The sequence below is a fragment of the Homo sapiens genome, chromosome 9, assembly GCF_000001405.40.
Source record: "Homo sapiens chromosome 9, GRCh38.p14 Primary Assembly".
Lineage (NCBI taxonomy): Eukaryota > Metazoa > Chordata > Mammalia > Primates > Hominidae > Homo > Homo sapiens.
In genome coordinates, this window is record NC_000009.12 from 16,215,075 (window position 1) to 16,230,222 (window position 15,148).

The 15,148-nt window shown below is 42.7% G+C and overlaps 1 long non-coding RNA gene across 1 annotated transcript in view; it reads right to left on the reverse strand.

Annotated features, from left to right (window-relative positions):
* The window catches only part of LINC03041 (long intergenic non-protein coding RNA 3041), a 72,379-nt gene that overhangs the window by 11,140 nt on the left and 46,091 nt on the right, over positions 1–15,148 (reverse strand). Inside the window, exons 2-3 of the long non-coding RNA NR_171034.1 lie at positions 698–825; positions 142–205 (exon numbers count right to left, since the gene is read on the reverse strand). This is a non-coding gene — a long non-coding RNA (long intergenic non-protein coding RNA 3041). The remainder of the gene's footprint in view (positions 1–141; positions 206–697; positions 826–15,148) is intronic.

The window sequence follows — 15,148 nt, forward strand, 5'->3', positions numbered from 1 at the left end:
TCTCAGGCTGGGTAAGAATTCCATGGGCAGTAATTCTGTTTCTCAGTGGAAAATGTTTCGGTTTCTTAATGTTGTTTTGCAGACTGGTCCCTGCCCGGCCCTTGCTCCCAGGACCACACATACACACATGTGCACACTCACCCATGCACAGTGCAGCATTTTCCACCCTTCCCTGTTGGGGATGGTTGCATCCTCTTTCCAACACCTGCAGAACAAAAACGAGGTGGGTCAGTGGCTGTCACCCAGCCAGAGACATCCCTGCGTGTACGGGAACAGAACGCTTTCCCTGGCCACGCTTTCAACCCCAGAGGCTGGGTGGGCCACAGAAGAGGAAATTGGACTCCAAACTTCTCTTGTTTCTGTGCATCTCCATGTCAAGCAATTCTCTCACACTATGGAGGGGGTGTTCTGTAACATTCCCTCCTCATTAGGTTCGTATGAAATGGAGATAAACACAGTGCTGTCATCATTGGACTTAGAGTGTGGCCAGCATGGTGCAGAGTGGTCTGGACCGCACAAAACAAATCAAAATATGGCCCCAGGAGACAACTTGCTGGTGGTAGAAAAAGCATGGATGCTTGCATTTCGACAGACCTGCACCGTCACCTAAACAGCTCAGCCCACGTGCAAGCAACTGCTGAACTACTCTGAGCCTTTTGCATCCACAGCTACGGACAAGAGAAGTTATGTAACTCACAGGCAGGTGCAGTGCCCTGGGTGGTGTTTCTCACATAGTAGATGTTCAAGGAACACCTATCTTCTTCCCTCTCCTTTGTTCTCTGAAAACGAGCCATCTCGCGTCTAGCTGGGGGCCAAGCCCCATTCCTACAAAACAAGTTACAAACAAACAAGTGAGTGCAGCCACAGCAGAGCCGAGTCCAGAGCAGGGTGTCCTCACCATCCCCAAGGTCCACTGCAGAGTTAATGTGTACTGTCAAAGGGGTGCTGTGTGCTGTAGGGCTGGGGGATCCAACACCAGCGGGAACTGTTAGGTCTGTTATCCAGAAATGTGAAGTATTCCTTCTCTCTATGGTCTTTGCGTGGGACAGATATATCTGGCCTGAGTATGTGGCCTAAACACAGTTGTGCTTAAAGCAGGCAAAAGGACTGGGCAAAATAACCACCATGTGAAAATAGACATTCAGGAGATCCGCACGCATTAAATGTAAAGAGAAGATTAGCTGTTAGCATGGAGCAAATGAACAGCTTTAAAAGTAGACAGGGATAGTATGAAACAAGGCTGTCAGTCAGACTGCTTTTAGTTTTCAGTGATGAAAACCTTCTTCTATATTACCTCTAGCAAATAAATAAATCAGTAATTTATTGGTTCATATAACCAAGACATTCTGGGTTAGAACTCCAGGTGGGGCTGAATACACAAAGTCATATGATGCTGGTAGGGCTAGCTGCTTGGCTGGCTCTCTTTCTCTCTCCATATCCATATTTTGTCTAATAGCCTAATTCTCTACTCTTTCGAATTACCATCCTACTCTCAACTTGGTAGCTCCAATAGAGAAATTCTATCTATCTCTCAGCACAGGCATATCAAAACCAGGGAGGATTCTAAGGGACCCAACCGTGAACATATTACTGGCTAGAGGATAAGGCACTATACTTTCTCTGCTACAGAAAGTGCAGATCTAGACAGATCTGTTTAAGTGACACCCTCTCTAAGTGACAGTGCAGGTCCAAGTCTCCACTCAACCCAATGTTTTCGTGTCTACTCCGTTCTAGCTACGATCTAGCCACTGGGAACCCAGCCGTGGACAGGGGAGAGGATGCCCAGCTCCCAGGCAGCTTATGGTCTTGTGAAGAGCCAACATTTTAGTTGAATCCTGCTACTTCCTGCTACTCTGCATCAAGAACCAAACAGAAGTACAGAGTCCTCTCCGTTCACAAAAAAAGCCAATTTCTTTTTATAAAATTAACAGAAAGTTACCAAATACAGTTCTGTACACTGAAAGTTACCACATGTAAAGCAAGCATACATATTGCCTCGCATTCCAGCCAGCAGGGCAGTCTCAGTGTGGAACCCCCCTGCTGAATGGCACCTCTGGAAGGTATGCAGCAGGCAGTACTGCCAACCAGAAATGGCCGGGGCTTTCAGGAGACATCACTGCTTTGGAGTTTCTTGCAGAAAACTTTCACATTCATCTCACACACAAGGATTGCAAACTGCTTCCTTTTGTGTGTGTGTGTGTGTGTGTGTGTGTGTGTATGTTCTCTGATCAAAGGAAAGTGGGATACTCTGTAATACTCTGTAATCAATGATATGAAATGGAATTACACCCTGAGTACACTGTAATGGGCATTGTGGATTTAGGTTAGGGGAGAAAAGTTGGCCTCCCAAAATTTCTGTATTTGGAGGGACCAGTAGACTTGTGTTTTTTGATGACTTGGATGTGTGATGGTGTGGGAGGACAGTCTCATCAAATATAATTTACTCAGTATTTATTGAGTGCCTACTATGTACCAATCCTCTGGTTATATAAAAACAAATAATACAGCATTTCTTCTTCATGGATAGAGTGGCTAAGTCGGGGACCTGCACATAAACCAAGCACACTACAGTGGGTAAGTGTTCTAAGGGTCTGTGCACAGCACATTACACTATGACATGTTAAGGCATGCAGTAATCTCTTAGTGCCTATGGTGGGGATGAAAGATTTTCTCCTCATCTCTGAATGGCTGGGTGGAACCCCAGCATGGAGCCTCGGCTGGAAACTAGAGGATTCTGGACAAAGACGAGGACAGGCTCTAATGTCAGGCCTTGGAACCATCTGAGGTCACCACCTGTTAAGCACGCTTAACCTCTGTGGACCCAAGGTGGTGTGTGACAAGCATCCCCAGGGCTTGCTGGACAACCATTACTTTTTATTACGTTTCTTACTGTCAGGTGCTCCGAAATCCACATGGACTGCTCTTATGATTTCAGGTTATCCCAAAAGAGAAACTCAAGAATCAGTGATGAGCACAGCCGGGAGTGAGCCGGCTGCCTATCTCAAAAGGGCACATCACCATAATCACAGATATACCATGAGCATATGCAGAAAGAATGTACCGAGGGAGTGTGTGTCAGGAGCGGCCAAGAGGATACATAAACCAGGTGCCCCTCCCAGCATCCCTCTCCCCCACCAAAGCAGTGCCTTTAAAATATGTGATAGGTGCCCACATTGTCTCTCTGGCCCCGCAGAATGCCCCTCCCCCAACAGCCACCTTTGCTGCTCTTCGTCTAAATCCACCCGGGGTCTCCCCTGGGCTGGCTGTTGCCTTCATATTTCATGCGGAATGCGCAGCTTCCCAGGAGCCGGACGCATGCCCTGCATTCTGATGCATCGGCCGGCTCTGACACCAGCCAGCTCCAGAGCATGCCTAATGAGGAGGCTGACACCGAGGCAGAAGAGCCAGGCCGGGCTGTGGACGGCCCGCTGCAAACAGGGAGTGGGGTGACAGGAAGGCACCAAGGGTGAACCCGGGGGAAAGATGGCAGTTGCCTTTTTAAGACACGACTCTAGCATCAGATACTACAAACATGGGCCAATTTAAACCACACCAGGAATGAATCACAGCCTCGAATAAAGAGCAATTTGGATCAAGGAACTTCCTTGGGGAAAGCATAAAACTAAAAGAGGAAGGAGAAGCGGCAAACACTAAGAGAAGGCAGAAGCTTTGAAATCACTCATATTTCAGTAGGCAGAGTGGTTGCCCATTTTAGTTTTTCTTCCAGTGTAGAGCTCCTTCAAGTTTCCTTAGAGACCACTTCATTATCTAAAAGATGCTGCTGAACAGAAGTTTTTCCTTTCCTGAAAGCCTCATCTACCTTAATTTCACACATTATTCCTCGTTTTGACTGGCTCTATCAGGATAAATTGACCCTTGCTTCCCATGGTATTTATGGCATTTATCCTTGGGGTAGAGCCAGTACCGACAATCACCATCCCAAAGCTACGAGGATGCGATGGTAACATGCTCATCAGCCATCTACTTAACACTTTGCCCAAGCCTAGTCCCGTTTCATCATCCCAGCAACTTGATGAGTTAGGTGCAGATGAGAAAACCAAGAATGACAGAAGTTTATCCAAGGCCATACATCAGACCAACGGTCTCAAACATGGGACCGCCTTCAGTACTTTCCAATGAGCTGGGTACCCACTAAAAAAAAAAAAAAAAAAAATCAAAATCTACCATTCCACTTGGTTCTATGTGGAATGATGTGGCAAATCATGATTTCTAATCATTTAGTGTAGATAAAATATTAGCAAATAAAACTTTACACTGACATAGGAAAGATTGTTATTTACATCATGGACTCTAACAAAGAAATTTCCTTTAAAGCTTTAATTTTGTCATTTGTGTTTCTGTGTGTGTGTCTGTGTAATAAGCCTTTGGTTTTGGCTCTGCAGATGCTAATTTCGTAATGAAATTCATAGTTCTTTATTGAAATGCTTACCACATGTCTCACAGTTTTCATTAATTGTCTCATGTCATCCTCCTGACACTGTGATCCAGGTGATATTGTCCCACTTTGGAGATGAGGAAACTCTTGTTCAGACAAGTTACATAGATGGGCCAAGACCACAAAGCTCCTAAGTGGCAGGACAGGAACCTGCCTGGCTTAAAGCTACAGATACTGCTCATAGTAAGCCACCCTGTTCTGCAGCCATGTGGTATCCAACATATTTAATATCATTCAATGCCCTGTGTTTCCCAGCATCATTGTTCTTTTTGTACTTCCTGCCCATTGGGTTCTTGAAATATTTTCCCTGTTAATTCTTGCTCTTTTCCAGAGGAACTGAATATCAGGATATCAAAAAGATATCTGCATTCCAGTGTTCACTGCAGCATTATTCACAACAGCCAAGACATGGAAGCAACCTGAATGTCCATCAACAAATGAATAAAGAAAATGTGGTATATACATATAATGAAATACTACTCAGCCTTGAAAAGAAGGAAATCCTGCCTTCTTTTTTTTTTTTTTTTTTTTTTTTGAGATGGAGCCTTGCTCTGTCACCCAGGCTGGAGTGCAGTGACGCGATCTCAGCTCACTGCAACCTCCACCTCCTGGGTTCAAGCAATTCTCCTGTCTCAGCCTCCCGAGTTGTTGGGACTACAGGCGCCCACCACACCTGGCTAATTTTTGTATTTTTAGTAGAGACGAGGTTTCACCATGTTGGCCAGGCTGGTCTTAAACTCCTGACCTCATGATCTGCCTGCCTCGGCCTCCCAAAGTGCTGAGATTACAGGCATGAGCCACTGCACCCAGCCCCTGCCCTTTTTGATAGCATGGATGAACCTGGAGTCGGTTATGCTAAGTCAAAAAAAGCCCAACACTGAAGGACAAATACTACATGGTCTCACTTATGTTAGGAATCTAAAATGGTCAAACTCAAGCAGAAAGTAGAATGGTGGTTGCCAGGTTCAGAGGGAGGGAAAAATGGGGAGAAGTTAGACAAAGGGCATGAAGTTGTGTGATATGCATAAGTCCAGGAGAGCTGCTACACAGTGTAGTCCCTAGAACTAACAATATTATACTGTATACCTAAAATTTTGCTAAGAGGGTAGATCTTAGGTTAAGAGTAAAAGAAAACTTGCACTTTTTGGCCGGGCTCAGTGGCTCATGCCTGTAATCCCAAAACTTTGGGAGGCTGAAGTAGGCGGATTACTGAGGTCAGGAGTTTCAGACCAGCCTGGCCAATGTGGTGAAACCCCTTCTCTACTAAAAATACAAAAATTAGCCGGGCATGGTGGTGCATGCCTGTAATCCCAGTTACTCGGGAGGCTGACTCAGGAGAATTGCTTGAGCCCAGGAGGCAGAGGTTGCAGTGAGCTGAGATCGTGCCACTGCACTCCAGCCTGGCCAACAGAGTGAGACTATCTCAAAAAAACAAAACAAACAAACAAACAAACAAAAACTTGCACTTTTTCTTGTGTAGAATTACATTTTACTGGTTCTTTTTTAACGCTCGTTTAGATTCTGTCCTTTCTCAAAACAAAACAATTCCTAATTTAAAATCTTCAGCTAATTTTTTGTTTCTGAATACTTTTGGAGTTAGAAGCATAGAATTTTACAATGGAAGGAAATCTTGGAGATTGTGCATCCCCCGCTTGCGGGAATTTTCCCTATAATAGCTCCAGAAACTGGTCATCTCACCATCTCCACTTACACATCCTCAATACTACAAAGCACACTACACCAAAAGGCAGCTCAGCCCACTCTCAGACAGTCTGAATTGTTAGAATGCTCTTCCTTGTGCTTTCTTCAACATACAAATTTGGGGATATAAGGGGGGAAAATTCAAACCATAACAGTCTCTTGTCTGCAAATCAGTGCTTTAGACACATGAATAAGTCACTTGTGTGATCCCTGACGCTTCTCTTTTTCTGGTTTAACAACCTCCAACTTTTCGCCAGACTCCTCTGTCCTGGGAGTCTATTCTGAACGCACTCTTCTGTCAGTGCCTGAAAGGGTGGCACCCTGCCAGCTGGGCTCGGAGGACCCTACTTCCCCATGTCAGCTCCAGTTGAGTTCACACTCTCAGCTGCCTAGGTGTGCAGAGCTAGATTTATATTGATCACAGACTCTGCTAATTCTCCCAGGTCCCGATCACATTGATGATTCTTAAACCTGGATTCCCACATCCAGTACTATGCTATTTGATTCTCTTTGTAGAATATCGACAAAACAACCCTGGCCAGAAAGAGAGATCCTTTCAGTACTTTGCTGAAAACCTCTTTTCTGAGTTTGGGGCTGTACCACATATTTTAGGGTCTTTCCACTTCTCACTGCTGCACCTATTCTAGTCTTCACATCAAATCCAACAAAGACAGGAAGATAGGTGAAGTGGTTTAAAGCCACCGTATTTGCTAATCCTGAAACTCCTGAAACTGAAATATGCAAAGAGCTCAAGTTTGGCAAACTCAGTTTTTCAGAAACATGCCATGTTAATTCCCCATTGTCCTGTTGTCTTGCAGATACTGAGGCTTTTTCTCTTAAGATTTGTTCCCTTTTCTTGCAAAACATTGAACTTCCCAGTTCTATGTTTTCCCTGGATTATTTCCAGGGAAATAATGCTTCCCTATTCTGGAAATCAGTCCCACATGTCTTCTTTTAATACTTCTGATAAATCCCCTGATAGTGATTCATATTTTTCAGTCCTTTAACAAGTTCACTTCTTAAGCAATTGTTTTGATCAGTTTCTAATTTGGGGGCAGGGAAGGGCAATTCTTTCAAATCTACTGATCTGTACTCTCCAAGAGCACCCTTTCTCTTTAGGCTTCCTTTATACATATCAAAGAACTAAGGCGGGGCCATAAAGCAATCAGGAGGTGGAAAGAGGTTAAAACAAGTAGCAGGCTTACAAGAAAAAAAATAGTCGACTCTGTTTTTCAAAATTCTTTTTGTGGAATATGAGATAGATAGGAGAACTACAGTCCAGAGTGGAAGGTCTTGGGGACCAGGGAGGAAAAAAGTAGCGTGGAAGTGGGATTACAGAGGGACCTGAATTGCCATGGCATGTGAAAAAGATAACTCTACCAACCCAAGCAACATCCAGGTCATGAATTCAGGTCTGAATTCTTCCAGGACAAGTTCTGGAATTTCTAGAAAGCAGGGATGTCCTAATATATTTTATACTCAGAGCAGGTCATTATTTGATACCATCCCCTATATCACATTAATTTTTAGGAATCAGTGTGTAGCATTCAATTATAAAATTTTTATTTGTTATTTAGTTTTAAAACGAACAATTAGCAACTTAAAAAAGGAGAAATATCAACCTTAAAGATACTAGTCAAAGTCAGCAAAATATTTCATATATGTACTAAAACTTATATTTATTAAACAACAACATTACATCTCAAAGTTTGCACTGTTTCACTGTCTTGAATTTCAAACCCAAAAACTCCAAGAGGTCACATAAAATGGCAACACTGATAGAACCCAAGTTTTGTTTTTTCATCCTTACAATCACATACCATCGCTTAAAAAAAAAAAAATCTGTTGTTAAGGCTGGCAAGATAGCCCAATAGGAATACCTCCGGTCTACAGCACCCAGCGAGGCTGACACAGAAGGCAGGTGATTTCTGCATTTCCAACTGAGGTACCCGGTTCATCTCATTGGGACTGGTTGGACACTGGGTGCAGTCCACGGAGGGCAAGCCAAAGCAGGCTGGGGCGTTGCCTCACCCAGGAACCGCAAGGAGTCAGGGAATTTTCTCCCCTACCGGAGGGAAGCTGTGAGGGACTGAGTCCAAGGAACTCCAGCACAGATACTGCGCTTGTCCCAGGGTCTTCGCAACCCGCAAACCAGGAGATTCCCTTCCGTGCCCCACCCCACCAGGACCCTGGATTTCAAGCAAAAAACGGGGCGGCCATTTGGGCAGACACCAAACTAGCTTCAAGAGTTCTTTTTTTCCATACCCCACTGGTGCCTGGAAGGCCAGCAAGACAGAACCATTCACTCCACTGGAAAGGGGTGCTGAAGCCAGGGAGCCAAGTGGCCTGGTTCGGCGGGTGCCACCCCCATGGAGCCCAGCAAACTAAGATCCACTGGGTTGAAATTCTCGCTGCCAGCACAGCAGCAGTCTGACATCCACCTGGGATGCTTGAGCTTGGTGGGGGCAGGGGCATCTGCCCTTGCTGAAGCTTGAGTAGGCAGTTTTACGCTCACTGTGTAAACAAAGCCACTGGGAAGTTTGAACTGGGTGGGGCCCACTGCAGCTCAGCAAGGCTGCTGTGGCCAGACTGACAGATTTCTCTTCTCTGGGCAGGGCATCTCTGAAAAAAAGGCAACAGCCCTAGTCAGGGACATACAGATAAAACCCCCATCTCCCTGGGACAGAGCACCTGGGGGAAGGGGCGGTTGTAGGTGCAGCTTCAGCAGACTTAAACGTCCCTGCCTGACAGCTCTGAAGAGAGGAGTGGATCTCCCAGCACAGCATTCGAGCTCTGCTAAGAGTCAGTCTGCCTCCTCAAGTGGGTCCCTGACCCTCGTGTATCCTGACTGGGAGACACACCTCATATAGGAGAGCTCTGGCTGGCATCTGGCAGGTGCCCCTCTGGGATGAAGCTTCCAGAGGAAAGATCAGACAGCAATCTCTGCTGTTCTACAGCCTCCGCTGGTGATACCCAGGCAAACAGGGTCCAGGAGTGGACCTCCAGCAAACTCCAGAAGACTGGCAGCAGAGAGGCCTGTCAGAAGGAAAGCTAACAGAAAGGAATAGCACGTCCACTCAAAGACCCCACCCAAAGGTAACCATCATCAAAGACCAAAGTCGGATAAATTCACAAAGATGGTAAGAAACCACTGCAAAAAGGCTGAAAATTCCAAAAACCAAAATGCCTCTTCTCCTCCAAAGGACCACAACTCCTCACCAGCAAGGGAACAAAACTGGATAGAGAGTGAGTTTGATGAATTGACAGAAGTAGGCTTCAGAAGGTGGGTAATAAGAAACTCCTCTGAGCTAAAGGGGCATGTTCTAACCCAACTCAAGGAAGCTAAGAACCTTGATAAAAGGTTCGAGGAATTGCTAACTAGAATAACCAGTTTAGAGAAGAACATAAATGACCTGATGGAGCTGAAAAACACAGCACAGAACTTCATGAAGCATACAAAAGTATCAGTAGCCGAATCGATCAACCAGAAAAAAAGGATATCAGAGATTGAAGGTCAACTTAATGAAATAGAGAAGACAAGATTAGAGAAAAAATAAATAGGAATGAAAAAGCCTCCAAGAAATATGGGACTATGTGAAAAGACCAAATTTATGTTTGATTGGCATGCCTGAAAGTGACAAGGTAAATGGAACCAAGTTGGGAAACACTCTTCAGGATATTATTCAGGAGAACTTCCGCAATCTAACAAGACAGGCCAACGTTCAAATTCAGGAAATACAGAGAACACCACAAAGATACTTCTCGAGAACAGCCACCCCAAGATACATAATCATCAGATTCACCAAGGTTGAAATAAAGGAAAAAATGTTAAGGGAAACCAGAGAGAAACGTCAGGTTACCCACAAAGGGAAGCCCATCAGACTAACGGTACATCTCTTGGCAAATACCCTACAAGCCAGAAGAGAGTGGGAGCCAATACCCTACTCAACATTCTTAAAGAAAAGAATTTTCAACCCAGAATTTCATATCCAGCCAAACTAAGCTTCATAAGTGAAGGAGAAATAAAATCCTTTACAGACAAGCAAATGCTGAAAGATTTTGTCACCGCCAGGCCTGCCTTACAAGAGCTCCTGAAGGAATCACTAAACATGGAAAGGAACAACTGGTACCAGCCACTGCAAAAACATGCCAATGTAAAGAACATGAAGAAACTGCATCAACTAACAGGCAAAACAACCAGCTAGCATCATAATGACAGGATCAAATTCACACATAACAATATTAATGTTAAATGTAAACAGGCTAAATGCCCCAATTAAAAGACACAGACTGGCAAATTGCATAAAGAGTCAAGACTTATCAGTGTGCTGTAATCAGGAGACCCATCTCGCGTGGAAAGACACACATAGGCTCAAAATAAAAGGATGGAGGAATATCTACCACACAAATGGAAAGCAAAAAAAAAGCAGGGGTTGCAATCCTGATTTCTGATAAAACAAACTTTAAACAAACAAAGATCAAAAAAGACAAAGAAGCGCATTACACAATGGTAAAGGGATCAATGCAGCAAGACGAGCTAACTATCCTAAATATATATGCACCCAATACAGGAGCACCCAGATTCATAAAGCAAGTTCCTAGAGACCTACAAAGATACTTAGACTCCCACACAATAATAGTGGGAGACTTTAACACCCTACTGTCAATATTAGATCAACGAGACAGAAAATTAACAAGGATATTCAGGACTTGAACTCAGCTCTAGACCAAGCAGACCTAATAGACATCTATAGAACTCTCCATCCCAAATCAACAGAACATAGATTCTTCTCAGCACCTCATCACACTTATTCTAAAATTGACCACATAATTGGAAGTAAAACACTTCTCAGCAAATGCAACAGAACAGAAATCATAACAAAGTTTCTCAGACCACATGCAATCAAATTAGAACTCAGGATTAAGAAACTCACTCAAAACCGCACAAGTACATGGAAACTGAACAACCTGCTCCTGAATGACTACCAAGTAAATAACAAAATGAAGGCAGAAATAAAGATATTCTTTGAAACCAGGGAGAACAAAGATACAATGTACCAGAATCTCTGGGACACATTTAAAGCAGGGTTTAGGGGGAAATTTATAGCACTAAATACCCACAAGAGAAAGCAGGAAAGATCTAAAATTGACACCCTAACATCAAAATTAAAAGAACTAGAGAAGCAACAGCCAACAATTTCAAAATCTAGCAGAAGACAAGAAATAACTAAGATCAGAGCAGAACTGAAGGAGATAGAGACAAAAAAACCCTTCAGAAAATAAATGAATCCAGGAGGTGCTTTTTTGAAAAGATCCACAAAATAGATCGCTAGCCAGACTAATAAAGAAGAAAAGAAAGAAGAATCAAATAGACACAATAAAAAATGATATAGGGGATATCACCAATGATCCCACAGAAATACAAATTACCATCCGAGAACACCTCTATCCAAATAAACTAGAAAATATAGAAGAAATGGATACATTCCTGGACACATACACCCTCCCAAGTCTAAACCAGGAAGAAGCCGAATCCCTGAATAAACAATAACAAGTTCTGAAATTGAGGCGGTAATTAATAGCCTACCAACCAAAAAAAGTCCAGAACCAGACAGATTCACAGCCGAATTCTACCAGAGGTACAAAGAGGAGCTGGTACCATTCCTTCTGAAAGTATTCCAAACAATAGAGAAAGAGGGAATCCTCCCTAACTCATTTTATGAGGCCAGCGTCATCATGATACCAAAACCTGGCAGAGACACCACAAAAAAAGAAAATTTCAGGCCAATATCCCTGATGAACATCGGTCCAAAAATCCTTAGTAAAATACTGGCAAACCGAATCCAGCAGCACACCAAAAAGCTTATCCACCACGATCAAGTTGACTTCACCCCTGGGATGCAAGGTTGATTCAACATATGCAAATCAATAAACATAATCCATCACATAAACAGAAACAATGACAAAAATCACGATTATCTCAATAGATGCAGAAAAGGCCTTTGACAAAATTCAACACCGCTTCATGCTAAGAACTCTCAATAAACTAGGTATCAGTGAAACGTATCTCAAAATAATAAGAGCTATTTATGACAAACCCACAGCCAATATCATACAGAATGGGCAAAAACTCAAAGCATTCCCTCTGAAAACTGGCACAAGACAAGGATGCCCTCTCTCACCACTCCTATTCAACATGGTATTGGAAGTTCTGGCCAGGGCAATCAGGCAAGAGAAAGCAAAAAAGGGTATTCAAATAGGAAGAGAGGGAGTCAAATTGTCCCTGTTTGCAGATGACATGATTGTATATTTAGAAAACCCCATCATTGCAGTCCAAAATCTCCTTAAGCTGATAAGCAACTTCAGCAAAGTCTCAGGATACAAAATCAATGTGCAAAAATCACATTGATTCCTATGTTATTAATTCCTATACATCAGTAACAGACAAACAGAGAGCCAAATCATGAGTGAACTCCCATTCACAATTGCTTCAAAGAGAATAAAATACCTAGGAATCCAACTTACAAGGGATGTGAAGGACCTTTTCAAGGAGAACTACAAACCATTGCTCAAAGAAATAAGAGAGGACACAAACAAATGGAAAAACATTCCATGCTCATGGATAGGAAGAATCAATATCGTGAAAATGGCCATACTGCCCAAAGTAATTTATAGATTCAATGCTATCCCCATCAAGCTACCACTGACTTTCTTCACAGAATTGGAGAAAACTAATTTAAACTTCACGTGGAACCAAAACAGAGCCCACATAGCCAAGACAATCCTGGGCAAGAAGAACAAAGCTGGAGGCATCATGCTACCTGACTTCAAACTATACTACAAGGCTGCAGTAACCAAAATAGCATGTACTGGTACCAAAACAGATATATAGACCAATGAAACAGAACAGAGGCCTCAGAAATAACACCACACATCTACAACAATTTGATCTTTGACAAACCTGACACAAACAAGCAATGGGGAAAAGATTCCCTATTTAATAAATAGTGTTGGGAAAACTGGCTAGCCATATGCAGAAAACTGAAACTGGACCCCTTCCTTACACCTTATACAAAAATCAACTCAAGATGAATCAAAGACTTAAACATAAGACATAGGACCATAAAAATCCTAGAACGAAACCTGGGCAGTGCCATTCAGGACATAGGCATGGGCAAAGACTTCATGCCTAAAACACGAAAAGCAATGGCAACAAAAGCCAAAATGGATAAATGGGGTCTAATGAAAGTAAACAGCTTCTGCACAGCAAAAGAAACTATCATCAGAGTGAACAGGCAACCTAGAGAATGGGAGAAAATTTTTGCAATCTATCCATCTGACTAGGGCTAATATCCAGAATCTACAAAGAACTTAAACAAATTTACAAGAAAAAAACAAACTCCATCAAAAAGTGGGCAAAGGATATGCACAAACAGTCCTCAAAAGAAGACATTTACGCAGCCAACAGACATATGAAAAAATGCTCATCATCACTGGTCATTAAAGAAATGCAAATCATATCCACAATGAGATACCATCTCACGCCAGTTAGAATGGCCATCATTAAAAAGTCAGGAAACAACAGATGCTGGAGAGGATGTGGAGAAATAGGAAAGCTTTTACATTGTCGGTGGGAGTGTAAATTAGTTCAACCATTGTGGAAGACAGTGTGGCAATTCCTCAAGGATCTAGAACTAGAAATACCATTTGATCCAGCAATCCTGTTACTCGGTGTATACTCAAAGGATTATAAATAATTCTACTATAAAGACACCTGCACACATATGTTTATTGCAGCACTATTCACAATAGCAAAGACTTGGAACCAATCCAAATATCTATCAACAATAGACTGGATAAAGAAAATGTGGCACATATGCACCATGGAATAGTATGCAGCCATAAAAAAAGATGAGTTCATGTCCTTTGCAGGGACATGGATGAAGCTGGAAACCATCATTCTCAGCAAACTATTACAAGAACAGAAAACCAAACACCACATGTTCTTACTCACAAAGGGGAGTTGAACAATGAGAATGCATGGACACAGGGGGAACATCACACACTGCGGCCTGTCAGGGGGTAGGGGGCTAGGGGAGGGATAACATTTTGAGAAATACCTAATGTAGGTGATGGGTTGATGGATGCAGCAAACCACCCTGGTACGTGTATACCTATGTTACAAAACTGCATGTTCTGCACACGTATCCCAGGACTTAAAGTATAATAATAATAATAATAATAATAATAATAATAAAATATGTTGTTTAAAAGCAGGGATATGTTCTATCACAGGAGTGGAAGATACAAACCTGGACTCCCTGCAAATACTGCACCCAAAGTGAACCCCAATAATCTGTACCTGCAGGAATTTACTCTCAAAAGGAAGACAAATATATGTGTCTACCTGTATTGGAGACCATATGGATGAGAATTAATTAACTTCCATGTAGAATACGAAGTTTATTAAATTATAAATAAAAATGTACACATATGTAAATAACACTTTATAGAAATTTTTAACAATTGCTTAACGTTATCTACCAGAGGATTATGGGGGGTAAGGGAAGCATATTTTATCACTGACTTTTTTTTAGAACCAGTGGTGTATATTGATAATAAACATCTGGCCAATAACACTCCAATACTGGGGCCTTTAGCTCTGGCTGCCCCATCTTTGATGTCTACATCTAAAAAGTCATGGGAATGGTGAGCAGGACTGGATACTCAGATATGCCTGGAGTACTGTTGCAGGCAACAAAAATTAGGGCCTGAAATAAGGGTCTGGGTATTGTTTGTGTGGTTAAATTATGCCTGGTTATTTCATTTAACGAAATTTTGCTTTGTCTCCTTAGCTCTACAGATACCTTCAGGGCATTGTCATCATGAGCTGTTTGAGGGCGGAAATCCTGTTTTGTGCTTCTCTGGGTGGTACCCCCTCTGACTGTCTCCTCAGGTGCTTGGCACACCTGAAGTCCTCTGTAAATGTCC